The sequence below is a fragment of the Homo sapiens genome, chromosome 5, assembly GCF_000001405.40.
Source record: "Homo sapiens chromosome 5, GRCh38.p14 Primary Assembly".
NCBI lineage: Eukaryota > Metazoa > Chordata > Mammalia > Primates > Hominidae > Homo > Homo sapiens.
Window position 1 is genome coordinate 83025832 of NC_000005.10, and position 16333 is coordinate 83042164.

Sequence of the window (16333 nt, forward strand, 5' to 3'; positions counted from 1 at the left end):
TAAAGAGCAATTCGGGCAAAGAACAGGGCTGGCCGGCCTGGTGTGAAACTGATAAGAATCTGACACCCTCTGGTAGAATGAGATAGGTCCCACAGAGCAGGAATTTAGGATAGGTCAGATGACTTGTAAATCCAAATTTTATGCCATATTAAAAACCTGCCCTCGTTCCTGAGGTAAAGGTGAGTCACTGAAGGTTTTTAAGCTGTAGTGTGCTTAGACTTGCATTTTAGAACGATCATTCTGGGGGCATATAACGAAAGGGAGAAGAAGACTGTAGAGAATTTGAGGAACTTTTTATACCCCCATTGTGAGAAGATGAAATTCTCAACTTTTGTGGTGGGAGGGGCAAAAAGGAGGAGATAAAGAGACAAGAAATATTCGAAAAATAGACTCATCTTATGCCTTGGTAAGGAAAGTGAGTCAGTGAGGATTCCAAGGTCTCCAGCCTGGCTGTTGGTGAGTGCCGACAGCATCAGCATAAAGAGAGAGAGAGAAAGAGAGAGAACTCAGGAGCTGGTCTAAGAGACAAGACACTGAGTTGTGTTACAGCACTATGATCAAGCTTGCTTGTGTCCAGATTGTTCTTCCAAGTCAATATTATAGCTGAAATTTTTTAAAAAGAAAAAGTTACCTCTTAGAGACCTGTCAAGAGTGTAAATTACTTGAACACTAAGTCTGTGGGCTGTCTTTTCTGAGCCTGGCTTCAGTTTCTCTATGTACTCCATTTCTAGAATATTAGTAGGCACCAGAGAAAGAATCCACTGTTATCTTCCAAATCAGCATCTTGGCCTCGCGGGGAAAGAGCCCACCCAGCAGGTTTTTAATTGCCTGTATAGCTAACCATTCAAATATCTTTGCTGTCTTCTCTTTTTTTGAATGGCATGACTCATCAGACCACCAGGTAAAAAGCCCCAGGTCAGCAACCCAGCAGCCAGGGAGTGCATACATAATGGTTCTTAAAGTCTCTCATTTCAAGTTTTTGTAGTTTGCTCTTGCCAAGCAGAAAGCAACTTTTACATAGTACAGATTTATTGAGATACCACAAGCCTCACCCAGTTGAGATTAAGCCTAATATGAAAATACAAATTGGTTTTCCATGCTAAGAAAACCAAAGCTATGGACATTTCCTCAGAGCCCAATATTTCACCATATGGACTAAAGCCTCTGTCTTAGTTGTAGGTCATATGTCAACAGGAGAGTTGTTTATTTTTTTAACCATGTGTCACATGACCCAACTACATCATCTGTAGTAATTTTCTGGAGTGAACCAGACAACTAGGACCCTCTTTCAAACACAAATCCCGAGAGAAGGTCAAATTGGCAGCTGTTGTGTTTCTCTGAATGGGCTGTTGTAATTTAAATGTCTCATTCCATGGGGAGCTAAGGAAAGTGACATAACCCAGAAGAAGCTCGGAAGTGAGAGTGTTTGTGGGGGTGGCTGCCCTCCTATCCTGAGTCTCTGGAGTCAATGAATGTGCTTCAGGAGTAGTCCTAGGAGCTCAGGACAAGCTTCTTGGGAGGTTTCTTTAAAAGGAAAAGAGAAGTTAGGCTGCAAATAGGTGGATATGATGGCAGGCTGTTCTTAATATTGTCTTCCTCAGAAAGTATTTTTAAGTAACTAATTATAGATGTCTGTTATGTTACATTCTCTATTGTGAGAAAAGAGGAAGTTGGACATCTTGAACCAAATCCGTAATACAATGAATGGAAGGCGTCTAGACAGCAGTAACAGGCAAAGATCAAGCTGAGTCTAGTAAACTGCTTTAACTCAGCCAAGAAGAATATCACTAAGCACTCCCTAATTCCTTTCTTTCTTTTCTTTTCTTTTCTTTTCTTTTTTTTTTTTAAGTAGAGTTTGTTACAAAGGACCTAAAACCAGACATGCAAACTATCACTTCAATGTGGTGGTCAAATTTTCTCATGAAGTGTGGATCTTAATTTTTATTCTAAAATTTCAATCTTTAAACTGTACACTGAATCAGTTTTTCTATACACTAAACGGTATCATTCATCTAGCATTCAAGAATGCCTAATATACTTGGTTTGTTGTATCATACTCCAAGTGGCACAATGCTATATTAAAACCCTTAAGGCATAACTCCTTTTTTGCTTTTTTTTTTTTTTTTTTTTGAGATGGAGTCTTGCTCTGTCACCCAGGCTGGAGTGCAGTGGCGTGACTCGGCTCACTGCAACCTCCACCTCCTGGGTTTAAGCGATTCTACTGCTTCAGACTCCCAAGTAGCTTGGGTTACAGGTGACCGCCACCATACTCAGCTAACTTTTTTGTATTTTTAGTAGACAGCGGGTTTCACCATGTTGGCCAGGCTGGCGTTGAACTCCTGACCTAAAGTGATCTGCCTGACTTGGTCCCCCAAAGTGCTAGGATTACAGGCATGAGCCACCACACCCCACCAGGCATAACTCTTAATATTGGCTGAATACTCAAGGTAGGATTTTTACTACTTATTAATATTTTTTGAAGAAAACTAATTAGCATGATCTTTTGGTTGGGCTAAGAGCATGTTATAAATTAATATTTTATTAATTACATTGAACAGTAGTGTGTACAATAAATATCTTGGATATTTTCTAGTTAAAGAATTTCACTTGTAAGATTAAGATTGCTATTAAAGCTAACATTTATGATAGGATCATAATAAGATTAAGAAAGTTTTTAAAGACTCTGCCTCTGTAAAAGCATAAAGTTACTGAGTGAAAGGGTCTAATGATTATGGTATAATGTCATTTGCCATATTCCACACCTTACCATGAACTCTGAGTTTATATTCCAAGTGATATCTAGTACCAATTTCAATTCCAAATGATCTAGAAGTTACTCATATTTAATCATTTATGTTATATATTGAACCAATTTCTCATCCTCTGTGAGGACTGCCTCTTAAGTTTTATAAACCTGAAATTTCCCCCTAGGGCCATGTCCATCTGTACCCAAGTGCTCTGCGTTTCTTGGATCAAGGTGTTCTATTTACAGGCTTTGAATTGCCATGCAGCGTCCATTGATTTCAGATCATGGGTGGAAGTTTGGATAAAGAAGTCATTATCACTTGCCTGTGGACCTCCGTAGACATGGGGTCTCATCCTACTCTGTTCCTACCCTCATTTGACTCTCAAATCCAGGACTACTTCTTTAGCATAGCTTGGCAGTGGAGCACACCCAACGAAGCTTTAATGACTGATTCCAAAATGATGATTTCAGAGTAAGCATGGGAATCTCATCAGGCCTTCATCTGGAGCTCTTTTCCAAAGTAAATAGTTAGGTAGGTAGTCTGCTCTCATGGAGGTGAAGCATAGCTCCCTGCTAAGCTTGTCCTATAGTAGCTTCTTTCCAAAGGGCGCTATTTTTGTTTGCTGGACTCAGAATTGGAACAGAGGAGGAGGAGCGAGATGGCCAAATGGAAACCTCTACTGATTGTCCTCCCCATAGAACGCTAAATTGAATAATTGCCCACACAAAAAAGCACCTTCATAATATCCAAAAATCAGGTGAGTGACCACGGTACCTGGTTTTAACCTCAGATCACTGAAAGAGGCACTTAAGAAGATAGAAAAGACAGCCTTGAATTGCTGACACCACCCTACCCTCAACTCCCAGCAGCTGCCATGTGGTGCTGAGAGAAGATCTGTGCTCTTGGTGGGGAGAGTGCAGTGATTGTGGGACTTAGCATTGGAACTCATTGCTGCCCTGTCAGAAAAGCAACACTGTATAGAACTTAGTCAATGCCTATGGAGGGAGCATATACACCAGCCCTAGCCAGAGTGGACTCACCCATCCCAGTTGTTGGACCCTTTCTTCTAGCAAGCCCCACCACCATGGGCTAAGATGCTATGGGGTCCTAAGTAAACTTGAAAGACAGTCTAGGCCAAGAGGACTGCAATTCCTTGGCAAGTCCTGGTGCTGTGCTGGACTCGAGAAAGTAGACTTGGGGAACACGTGACCCAGCGAGACACTGGCTAGGACAGCCGAGGGTGTGCTTGCACCACCACTCCCAAAACCCCAGGTAGCACAGCTCACAGCTCTGGGAGAGACTTCTTTCTGCTTAAAATGAGGAGAAGGAAGAATAAAGAGGACTTTGTCTTGTAACTTGGATACCAGCTCAACCACAGTAGGATAGAGCACTAGCCGGAGACTTGAGGCTCCCATTCCAGGCCCTAGCTCCTAATGTTATTTCTAGACACACCCTGGGCCAGAAGAGAACCAGCTGCCTTAAAGAGAAGGACTCAGTCCTGCCACAATTCATTAACTACTGACTAAAAAGCCCTTTGGCCCTGCATAGTTAGCAGTGGTAGCTAGACAGTACTTGCTATGGGCCTTGGGTGAGATTCAGAGACATGCTGGCTTCAAGTGTGACTCAGCACATCCCCAGCTATGCTGGCTATGATGAGAGACTCCTTCTGCTTGAGAAAAGGAGGGGGAAGAGTAAAGCCGACTTTGTCTTGAAGCTTAGGTACCATATTGGCCACAGAGGGATAGAGAACCAAGTGGGCTCTTGGGGTCCATGATTCGAGGCCTTGGCACATGGATGGTATTACTGGACTTTTCCTGGGCTAGAGGGGAGCACTGTCCTGAAGGGAGAGTCCCAGGCTCAACAGTATTCATCACAAGCTGACTGAAGGGTCCTTGGGCCTTGAGTGAACACTGATGTATTTGCTGCAGGCCTGGGGTGGTGGTGGGTCCTGGTTTTCTTTCTACTTTGGCTTTGTTTTTATTCTCTAGGTCTTGGCTTAACCTGGTCCCTGCCTCTCACTGCTTAAATAGAGTAGTTTAAAGAATACTGATTAATGGATTAATATCAAATTGAAAGGAGCACTTCCAAAACCTGTGCAGAGTATCTCTCTTGTTCTGTTCTCATATTCATCTATTCCAATGACTTGGAGAGGACAGTGTGCTTGTCAAATTTTCAAACTCTATACAGTAGAACTGACATTAATATATTTTATATTTATTCAGTGCTTTGCCATTTCAAAAAATTTCAGGATATGGTATCTCATTTGATTCCAGGAATGATAGGCACAGATGAAAAGATCAATTTCAGTTCAGTATGAAGGACAGCTTTCCATAAATTGGCCTGTCCAAATGAAACACCAAGCTTCACAAAGAAGTAAGCTCCACACAGTGAAGACAGTTTTAGTAAACAGTAAAAGTTGACTCTCAGGGATTTTGTGGAAAGATCCTTGGTTTGAATGAAAGCTTGGATTAAATGGCTGTGTGTGTGTATGTGAGAGAGAGAGAAGAGAAATACACATTAATTTAAATATATTATCTAGGGAGAGAGAACAATTGAGAACACAGGCTACTGTTTTCTTAAAACCTTTGTTAAGATAACTCCCAAATAGACTTTTAATATAGGACCTTAATCACATGTAGTTGAACAATTCAACGTTTTTAAGGTTTTATTTCAAAAGTTCAAGAAGTCTGAAGTAGTATAGGTCTAGATCATGGTTTCTGGATTACACCAGGGGTGCTGACTCTTCTAAAGATGAAATAGGCCCCAAACTGAAGTGTTAATGAGAATATCTGATGGTTTAAGGGCAAGTGGAAGCAAGATGCATGTGAGGACTGAAGACATCACACAGGCATAGAAAGAAGGATGCGAGTGTGGAGAGCAGCAGCCTGCAGAAAAAGCTGGGGTGGCCAGTTGAAGGGAGTGGATATCAAACCAGCATAGGGCAGGGCTAGCATGAGGTCACTGCCCTACTCAATTAGAAGCAGAAGAATTAAACCAAATACCAGAACTGGTTTGCTTTGCTTTTTCCATAGTTGGACTAAATGCCTCCCTTCATGACTCCAAGACCAGCTCCAGTGGAATGTTTTAGTGAAATGCTCACTTGGCTTAGTTTAACTTTGCCTTAAAAAATGATCATTCCATGACTTCTTTGAAAATTTTGTTTAATGATTTTGTGATACTGGGGCAGGTGGGGCAAGAAAGGAACAGTATAAAGGATTTGGCAACTGAATAGACCAGAGTAAAATATTATTCAGTGTGAGCTTCTGTTCTTGTAAGAACAGAAAAATATCCTCTTAAATTTTTTTTTATTATTTGAATAATATTAAACTAAATGCTTATAATAAAGTTAGGCAGAAACATTTAGAAATTATAATTATAATCCAGTTTATTTGTTTAAGAAACACTTGTATGCTATATACCAGGCGTTGTGCTTGGAACAAGTTTTTAAAAAGTAATTTTTAAAGCCCTTACAACCTATTCAGCACACACACAAACACAACTGCATAATTTTAATTCTTTTTCAGTTTGATAGTAGTAATCTTCCCTTGGGCCAACACATTTTCTTTTAGATTCCACTGAGGTGGTTTTTTTTTTTAAGGTAGTATGTAATATTTTAATCTCTTGCCATCTTTCATATTTGACTCATCAAGAAAAGGTTGTGAAAAGTCTTAGTTTGCCCTTTTTTTATCTTACATTTTTTTTAATCTTACATCTGCATTGCCACTGACAGGAATGCCTTAGTAATATTCCTAGAGATTCCAGATGTTCTTCAAATTTTACCGTATGCCTGCCACTTGGAAAGTGTTCAGTATAGTATATGTTGCTTTTTTTTTTTCCAGAGTAACTTGATTATAAATTACAGACAATGCTCTGTAAGTAAGTTAAACACCTAGCACCCAGATCTTGGTTTTGTTGTTGTTTAACCATTCTACATTAAAAAGAACCAGGGTTCCTTGGAGAAACATCTGATTCTAGGACTAGGGCAGGAAATATACAAGACAAGCCTGGAGCACCTTACAGTGTCAGAAGGCAAGGCAGTTCTCAACAACAAAACAATAAAACAAACAGAACCCAAAGACCACAGTGATGGGGATCTGTCAAAAAGACACAGAAGCCAACTGAAAGAGCTCCTAATAGCCAAAGCTGAAACATTTGAGCAACAAAAGCAAGTAGTATTAGATTATAACCCACAGTATAAAATAAATATTTATGACTCCAAATGACGTAAAAAATGATTGAATAAAAGAATAAGTAGGCGAGACTAGACAATTTTTTCATGCAAAAGAACAAGTCTGCCCTCAAGGAGGTGAAGCATAACTCCCTACTCCTTAAGTTTGCCCTGTGTATAATAACTTCTTTCCAAAGAGTAAAATAAGGAAAGGTAAATTAGAGTCACTTTAGAGTATAGAACCCTGACAAACACTGCCCCAGCCAGGTGGTCAAGGTTAATATCAGCAGTCATAAGTCATAATAGATAGTATGTACTCTTGATGTGATAAGAGTGGCACTTTAACTCTGTGCTCTTTCTCCCAAACACCCATAATTGTATGCTAATTATGAAAAAAAAAATTAAACAAATCACAATTGCAGAACAGCCTATAAAATACTTAACTGGCACACCTCCAAACTATCAAGGCTAATAAAATCAAGAAAAATCTGAGAAACTGTCACAGCTAAGAAGAGCTTAAGGAGACATGATGACTAAATGTAATAGGGTATCTTGATGGGAACTTGGAACAGAAAAAGGACACTAGGAAAAAACTAAGAAAATCTGAATAAAGCATGGACTTTACTTAATAACAATATATCATATTAGTTCATTAATCATAACAAATATTGCATACAAATTTATTGTCATTAATATTTGGGGAAACTGGGCATGAAGTATATGGTAACTCTTTGTATTATCTTCACAATTTTTCTCTATATCTAAAACTATTTTAAAATAAAATTTTATTAAAAGAAATCTAAATATGTGATCTTGTGAGTAAGTAGAAATTCTGTTATCCACCTTTCAAAGTTGTAAGATCTGGTACTATTTGAGATAATCTCAGTGTCCGGAATCACTGCATTTTGAAGGTATGAATGATTATATGTCTTGGTGTGTCTTGGAGGCACTTTGCTAATAATGCTTTTTAAAAAAACATTTGTAAAAACAAAAGGTAATGAGCTGTCCATATTCAGAGACATTAATTCCTTTGGATCCCTCAGGCAGCATTACATGTCCTGGTAAAAAGCAATGGATTAACTCTGTTCTGTCCAATACTGTAGCTATTAGCATATGTGATTACTGAGCACTTGAAATGTAGCTGGATAAAACTGAGATGTGCTATTGGTACAAAATACATACTAGATTTTAAAAACAAAAGCAAAATATTTTGTTAATAGTTTTTTATACTGTTTACATGTCAAAATTATGTTTTGGATATAGTGGGTTAACTTAATATATTGTTAAAATTTATAACACTTGCTTTTTTTTATTCTAGTATGGCTAATTGTAGCCACTTGAAATTTAAAAATAGATGTGTGGCTCACATGTCTATTAGACAGTGCTGGATTAAGTGGATCCTCGGAGACTGGAAGAGTTAATGGATTTCCCAAAAGCAAACAACGTCCCTCAGAGAAATTGTCAGACTCTGTTGTGGGTTTCTAGGCTCTCACCACAAATAGCTGGATATGTGCAACATTAAGGCAATTTCCCGGAGATGACTCTTGCCACCATGAAAAGCCACCTGCAGTGACAAGAGGCTTTCTTGATTTTTCTCTCTTATTTCCTTGAAGATTGTGCTTAAAAAGGAATGTTGGAGAGTAGTTTCTTGAAGGATTTGTGAGTGAGGAAATTAAAATGTATAAGGAAATATGAACCACTATATAGAGCACTTCTAATGCTACCTTTTTTTTTGGATGGGTTTGCCTTGGAGTTGGAGATGTAGTTTTTTCCAAACCTCTTTGGCACAACATATTTTAAAGCATGAAAATATTCTAAGGCAGTATCCACATTACAATAAAGCAACTGGCAGAAAAATGAAATGTTAACAACTTAGTTGTTTGGACTACAGAGACTATCAGACAACCAACATGAACAATGCACAGGAGACATCTTACTTTGCTAAATGTAAATTTCCTCTTGGTAGATGAGTGAGGAAGAACAAGTTCCAGCTGGTTGGCGGGCAGGCGGAGGGGTGTGGAAAATGTGTGTGGGTTTTTTTTGAAAAAAATTATTTTTAACAAAATTGTGTTTTTTAAGTTGTATTTCCTTGAGTACATTATCTTGAGAAAAAAAGAAAGAAAAGCCAAACAGAGTGTTTTAGTTTTACATAAGTAATATAGGTAGATCTGATCATAAATTCCTAAATTTTACCAAAGTTTGTCATTATAAGCAAGATAAATCAATTGTCAGTAATTACTGTCACCCTCTGCTCTGAGTGGCTCTTAGAAGGAAATTATGTGAAGAGAGATAAGCCCTGTTTTTTCAAGTAAGAGCCTTGGGGAAAGGGCTCAGGGTACAGCTTGCCTCACTCTGATGGGCAGAATTGAGTGTTGGATGTTAGGAGACGACAGCATAAAAATACTGTGTTATAATTTATGATTTGACTATTCATGCAATGCCACTTACGTTGGCACTGCAGGAGATTTACCTTAAAATTATATCAAATAACCTAGGCTAGCAATCTATGTATTTACACATGCAAGAGATGGATGAGAAAGTGGAGGCACAGGAAGCCAAGTTATTTGTAGTTGTATAGTCACACAGGGGTTCTAGACCGGTGGTCTATAATCCTAGGCTCTTTGTATGAGCCTTCTCTGCCTCTCTTACAAATACCATGCACAGCTATCACACCTAACCAGTGTACTAGAAGATTACAAGACACCTAAATGCCAGGTTGGAGAAGCACAGGTTGATTGAGCTTGATTCTTTAAGCTGAAAGCAGAAAGTCTGCTTCTACCTTTTCCTGTAGTCTCCTGGAGAGACCATCCCTCCTCAGCATTATGGGAGCTGCTCTTTGTTAAAGGCTCTGTCTGAGTGGTGTATTTTTGCCTCAGAGGCTCAATTTGATCAATTCATATGCCTATGTAAAAACCACCAAGCTTCTAAAGCGATCACATTAGGCTCACGGTGGGAGTCTCTACACATGAAGAGCAGGACATGTGTCCACTGCATTTCAGCATCTGTGCAGGACAGCCGTGCGTGCTGCTCTGCCCTGGGCAGAAGCTGTCTCAGTTGGCCTGCTTTATTCCAGCTCTGAAACCCAAGTCCCATGCTAAGGGCCAGAGGAGAGGTTCATGCTGCATTAGGCTAGCTCTGCTGAGAAAGGCTGGAGAAACACATCAGTAATAATTTAGCACTCAGCAGCTGCAAGAGTGCAGGCCCCTGCCAAGTGCCAGCCTTTGGTTCTCCTCTCTACCAGGCAGTAGCTAGTTCATTCTCTGGGCACTCAGCCACATTTCAGAGAGAGCCGTACTGGTGATGGCTGGGACAGCACAGACACACAGGACAGCACAGACACATAGCCCCCTCAACAAGGCACTACTGTGAACTATCCTGCTGCACAAACTGTGTTTAAGAATTGAGACGTTAGCAGCTAAGAGGATACAGGGAATGGTTGACTTAAAGAATTATAAAGCCAGTGATAAAATATAAAGTTCTAAATAAACACATTATAATAAGCAGAACATGATTTAGAATACATGCTGCTGAGTGGCTTCTAAATGAGACCCAATTTTAAATACACAGATTCTGGAGCTCAATTTGTTTCCTAACTGAAAAATAAATAAACAATCCACCATTTCCTGTCAGATCCCAGGGTGGTTTCCTGGAACCAAAAGAATCAATCATTCCAAACATAAGATAATCAATGTATTGGAGTGGGGGCGGGGGCAGGAAGGGGCGGGAGGAGAGGTAGGGTTTATGAAGCCTTGGCTGCCTCAGCAGTGTGTAGAAGGCATCTCAAATCTACCCAACATAAAATCTCATTCATATCCCCCTAGTTTTTCACCCTTAATCTCATCTAGATCAGATCTATGATTTCAACGACAAACCTTGTTCACCATGGCATTATTGCAGCACTCTATTTTTATTGGAAATGGCAGCTCTTATTCCAACAGACCCCTTGGCTTCTGTGTGTGGCAATCTGAGTTTGTGTCAGTTGTCAGCCTAAGGGGTTAAAATTCATTTTAAATAGCAGCACGGTGGGTGCAATCCTTCCTTTCACTTGCCTTGGGAATAATTTAGCAATCTGCATTTAAAGTCACAAAGTCTATTTGGGTTTGAGAGAGCAAATTTTATGACAATTAGACTTGTTTTTTGAAGGTGAAGGAAAAACCAAAATGGCCATTTAATAGACATTGAGCTAATCTGACATGTTGCAGGAAAATTTTTGAAGGCTAACAATAGGTTAATTCTGTAATACTTAAGATAGATGATAATGCTATTGCAGTCAACATGTTTTTTAAATCTGTATACTTTTTTTTTTTTTTCAAGAAAGAAAGAACCTTGAAGCATCCTGTGGTCTTAATCTCTTAGGCGTTCTAAGGAATTCTTCAGCCAATTAATAAAGTGCCCCTTCACTTGAAGTCTATGAAAGCCAACATTTGTGGTGAGCAGGGAACGTCAGTTAATCACATATTAGGGATGATTCCTTTGTTCATTGTGCAAAAGTGGTTTCTAGCAGACATTCTTATATTCCCATACACAATATTTATCTTCTGAAAGCCAAACGAATTCAAACAAGCCAATGTGACCTTTAAATAGTGTTTTTTTTCTGTCTCTTGGAAAACAATTAAGGGGTTTCACTATATTAGTGGGATTTCCCCTTTCTTCAGTCTTCAAAAGATTTTTCTTTCATCTTCTTTTTCTTTCTCTCCAGCTACAAAATGTGCTCATTACGGGCCTGTCAGCTACAAAAGGGAGACTTTTTCTTTTTCAGCAGGTATGAAAATCTCAATAGCTTCTTTAATCTCCAGAGAGTTCTCTTCTGCTCTATTTAATAAAACTCAGCACTTCAGTTATCAGAGTCATTAGAAGGAAGCAGGATTGGAAGAAGGAGCCTTAATTTATTTTGGTGACATATGTAATTAAACCATTTTTTTCCCAATGGCTCTATATTTTTCCACTACCTTTTTTTTCTTTCAGAATATTTCTGAAGAAAATCTCCTCATATGGAAAATGAAGATTAAGCAGCAATAAAATAAAATACCCACTCCTTCAGAAGCCAAAATAATTCTTTTACCAGGCAATTAGCACAAATAAGGGCCAGGATGCCATTCACCCCCAAATAAACCTGATTCCCTTGAATATCATTGGCACTTTTTTTACTGTCTTTTTCTCTCAACTAATCTGAAACATATTTGATGAGCCAAGTTTGCTCGATGGTCCTGTACAAAAGGATGTGAGTTTGATAACATTAAAGGGCTACAAATCTCTGTGCACTGTAGACATGACAGAGAAAGTGGATAAAGTGCATCTTCTGAAGCTACAGTCAGAAATCCAGCACTACGTTAGCACATGGCAACCAAGCTCAATTAATTATTTTTTTCTAGTTAATTATTCCTTAAGGAACCAAAAAAGTTAAAAAGTTGCAATTAGTTGAAAATACAAAATATTCTAAAAATTATCAACCTTAGGTCTGGGGGAAAGTGGATTTCAATGGCTCTCCACTGTCACCCATATCTCGGTACCCCAAAATTTAGTGGGTGTGTTATAGAATAAGCCCTCCCCCTAATCCTAACTGATGATTAATTCAAATGATTTTTTTTTTTTTTTTGGAGACGGAGTCTCGCTCTGTTGTCCAGGCTGGAGTGCAGTGGCACAATCTCGGCTCACTGCAACCTCTGACTCAAGGTTAATCCATCAATTGATGATCATTCCTTGTACAGTCAGCTGGTGTTTTGTGACATTCTTCACATGCAGTTGTCGATTCAGTGTATTTAATAAACAGAAACAAAAGCTCTGTAACACGAAGCAAAATTTTCTCTAACTTGCCCTTAGTATCCAAGGTCAATTATTTTATTATAGCTATATAGATTAACCTGACAATCTTTATTCCCTAGAAATCAATGCTAGTTCTCAATAAATCTCTATTCTATATGTAAAATATATTTAAACATTAACTTCTATACATTTTTTTCATATTTTTCCACTATATTATTAAAGTGTTCAGGGCTACAATTTCTAGTCTTTATGGAATGAAATCAGAAACATGAATTTCATTGAGGAGTGAATTGGAAACCTGTGAAGATTACGGATGACATATGCACCATATGGAAAACATTGTTCAAAATTCAAATTATACCTTTCAAGTGTCTCTCACATCTCAATATGGTTTTGTTTTTCTAATATAAAAAGGTCAAATCACTGGTATTAGGTGTCTTTTGCCTAGATTGGATATCCTGCGGTACCAAGAGTCTTTTTTGTTTTGTTTTGTTTTTCTACTTCCACATCTCCTGGTATTAGTCTATTCCTTCTCTCTCCCCAACCTACCTCATCCCATGCATTCTCTTCTTCCTGTTCAGCCTTCCTTACCAGAAAAAGAAAACAAAACTCATGATGTCATGGAAAAGTCAACCAAAGTAAACCATCGTGACAATTACGTGGAAAACAACAAAAACACAAGTAATTAAAACTAAATTGTAAAGAAAGAGCCAAGATTCCCAGTAATCTGAAAATAAGAGGGGGAAAATCTCACTTTTAAAATTTATTTAAAATGTACAAAGACAACAAAATAGGATATAGGGTAGGTGGCCACAAATGCTGGTGGAGTTTCCTCTAGATCTACTTAAGGAAACACCACATATGTGGTATAGCCAAAACCAGTTTCCCTGGCAAGAAGAGAGAGTAGTTATTATACGAGTGCCACTTTTTTTTTTTTTGAGATGGAGTTTCACTCTCGTTGCTCAGGCTGGAGTGCAATGGTGTGATCTCGGCTCACCGCAACCTCTGCCTCCCAGGTTCAACAATTCTCCTGCCTCAGCCTCCCAAGTAGCTGGGATTACAGGTGCCAGCCACTACACCCAGCTATTTTTTGTATTTTTAGTAGAGACAGGGTTTCTCCATGTTGGTCAGGCTGGTCTCAAACTCCCGACCTCAGGTGATCCTCCTGCCTTGGCCTCCCAAATTGCTGGGATTACAGGCATGAGCCACCACACCCGGACAGTACCACTTTTTTATACAAACATATTTCACTGGTTTCAACACTGATAGCATTCATTGTTGCTTTCTTCTTTTTAGTAACATTTTCATTTATCTAGCCTACAAAAATCTGAGGTATATGACATGAAGAGTTCTGACCCTGGTGTCAAACCGTCTAGGTCTCAGCCTGGAGCCACCACTTTCTAACACTGTGACTAGTCACTCAATCTCATGAAGCCTTATTTTATTTAGCTACAAAATGGGAATAACAATAGTATTTACTTCATAGGATTATTGTGAGGTGTTAATAAGATCATGAATGGAAAGCAACATGTCTGACATACCTCAAGTATGCCACGAATCTCACAGTTATTAGCACTGTTATTTTTATTACTATTAAACTCTATGACTTGAGTTCTTGAATCAGAAAACACTCTACAGTGCCCACTCCATTGGGGTTGCAAATTTTTCATCTTAAAATCCTTCTATACTAGTGGTTCTCAGGCTTTAGTCTGCATCAGAATCACCTAGAAGCCTTGCTAAAATCACAGATTGCTGGGCTCCACTCTTAGAGTTTCTGATTTAAAAGTTTGGGGTGGGCCCAAGACTCAGTATTTCCAACAAGTTTCCAATAGTAATGATGCCACTAGTCATGGATCACGCTCCGGTGTTCCATACCAGGGATTGGCAAACTTTTTGTATAAAGTTTCAGATTGACCATTACTAAATACATCTCTAAAATATTCTAGTCCCTTAAGTCAAATGAGGCAAGTGAATTAGATCAGTGGTTTTCAAACATTTTCTAACAGTGAGGCCCTTTCTTTAAATAAAGTCTTATGCAGAATTCAAAAACTGCTACCCAAATGGGCGCCCAAAACTCTGCTTTCCTTCTTCTGCAATCTCAGGAATTATCTATGCCTTGGAGGAGAAAGAACAGTTTGAAAAATACTGGCAGTGGTGATCTGGAGACTGGAATTAGTCAAGAACACAGTGTTGGTGTCTGACAGACATGGATTCCGGTTCAAACTCTGCTGCATCCACTCTCTATCTGACCATGGATAAGTTACTTAACTTAGTAAACTTCATTTTTCTCATTTATAAACAGAATAATAACAGCACTGATCTTATTGGGTTGTTTCCAGAACCGAGAGATAGTGCATTGGAAGTCCCCAGCACGGTTTCTGGCACTGTGAGAGCTCACATGTTAACAGTGATTAAGGTTCTTTATACAATTCTTTGATTTAAGCAGCCATCAAAAAACTTCAAAAATCTTTCTCCCCTCCTCTTTTCTCTTGTGGGATACACTTCAATTAGGCCTTACACCCAGGAGTAAGGGATAAAAGAACAAGTGATTAAACCATTTCTACGATCTTAATTACCACTAATTTAATGAAACCCTTAGTGTGGCAGAATAAAATGGTTTCTGCAAGTCTGCTATATCAAAAGACCATTTGAGGAGTAGAGAGATTGTCCAGGTAAGCTGGCAGGAATTATAAGCATCTTTTGATTCCCATCCACATGTTGTTTCTCATTATAAAAAGATGACCTATGACTTATCTAGAAACATCTGGATACTTTGAGGGATCTTCCAAGAACTCTCTTAAGAAAAGATTTGAACATATAAAGTGCCTGATAAATAAATGCATAATTATGACTTTTCAAGTAGAGTTAAATGCCACTTTAGTCAAGTCTTTCAGCGTTCTCCAGGGTTTAAAAGCATCACTAAGCTGTTGCTTGACCTCATCTAGTTGTTCATCCTAGTAAGAAGATGGGAAGCATTCATGCAGCCACCTTTCTAGAGGATGTTATTAGGAGGGGCACTTGACAATGAGCCCTTCCTAGAATCTCTGGTGGGTATAATACTGTGTAATTGTGAGAGTTTCTGGAGTGCCCTCATGTCCTTGAACTCGTGTCTACTCCCCAAAGGGAGTGTGTTTGGTATAGTGTTTTTAGTTTCAAACAACGGGCAGAAAATCAGCTAATTCAAGCAAAATAAATAAATAAATGAAAAGCAATAGAAAAGTTAAAACCTTTGAGGGTTTTCATGATTATCTGATCAGAGTGTTGCCATTAACACACCTTAAATCCACTTACTCCAAGCCAGGTTTCAAATACCTGGCAGAAAGAATCTGAGTGCCTAGGTGGGCTAGGTGTCACCCACACCTAGAAGAATTGGCCCCATGTGCGGCAGTTCTCAGAGAAGCAGGAAGATGAAGCTGGATTGGTGCCTCAAGAGGGTCCAGTACAGAAAACATGTGCCAACTACACATCACTGAAGTACATGTGATCTCCATGAAAGTGCCAGAGATGAGGGCAGAGACTTAACTTCTACAAAAGGAAGATGTCCATTTTTTTGCCATTGTTGTTGTTGAATTTAATCAGACTAAAATGTTTTTATTTACTAAAGAAAAACTCAGTACGGCGCTTACACCTGCATTTTGATGGCCAGGCCATAGCA

General features: G+C 38.9%; 3 annotated features.

Moving 5' to 3' along the window:
- Positions 791–1638: an enhancer, noted in NCBI's record as "OCT4-NANOG-H3K27ac hESC enhancer chr5:82322441-82323288 (GRCh37/hg19 assembly coordinates)". NCBI's record gives its function as "activates a minimal SCP1, AML or CMV promoter by ChIP-STARR-seq in naive H9 embryonic stem cells {active_cell/tissue: H9 hESC(naive)}" and the evidence as "EXISTENCE:reporter gene assay evidence [ECO:0000049][PMID:30033119]".
- Positions 1745–2246: an enhancer, noted in NCBI's record as "H3K27ac hESC enhancer chr5:82323395-82323896 (GRCh37/hg19 assembly coordinates)". NCBI's record gives its function as "activates a minimal SCP1, AML or CMV promoter by ChIP-STARR-seq in naive H9 embryonic stem cells {active_cell/tissue: H9 hESC(naive)}" and the evidence as "EXISTENCE:reporter gene assay evidence [ECO:0000049][PMID:30033119]".
- Positions 2247–2746: an enhancer, noted in NCBI's record as "H3K27ac hESC enhancer chr5:82323897-82324396 (GRCh37/hg19 assembly coordinates)". NCBI's record gives its function as "activates a minimal SCP1, AML or CMV promoter by ChIP-STARR-seq in naive H9 embryonic stem cells {active_cell/tissue: H9 hESC(naive)}" and the evidence as "EXISTENCE:reporter gene assay evidence [ECO:0000049][PMID:30033119]".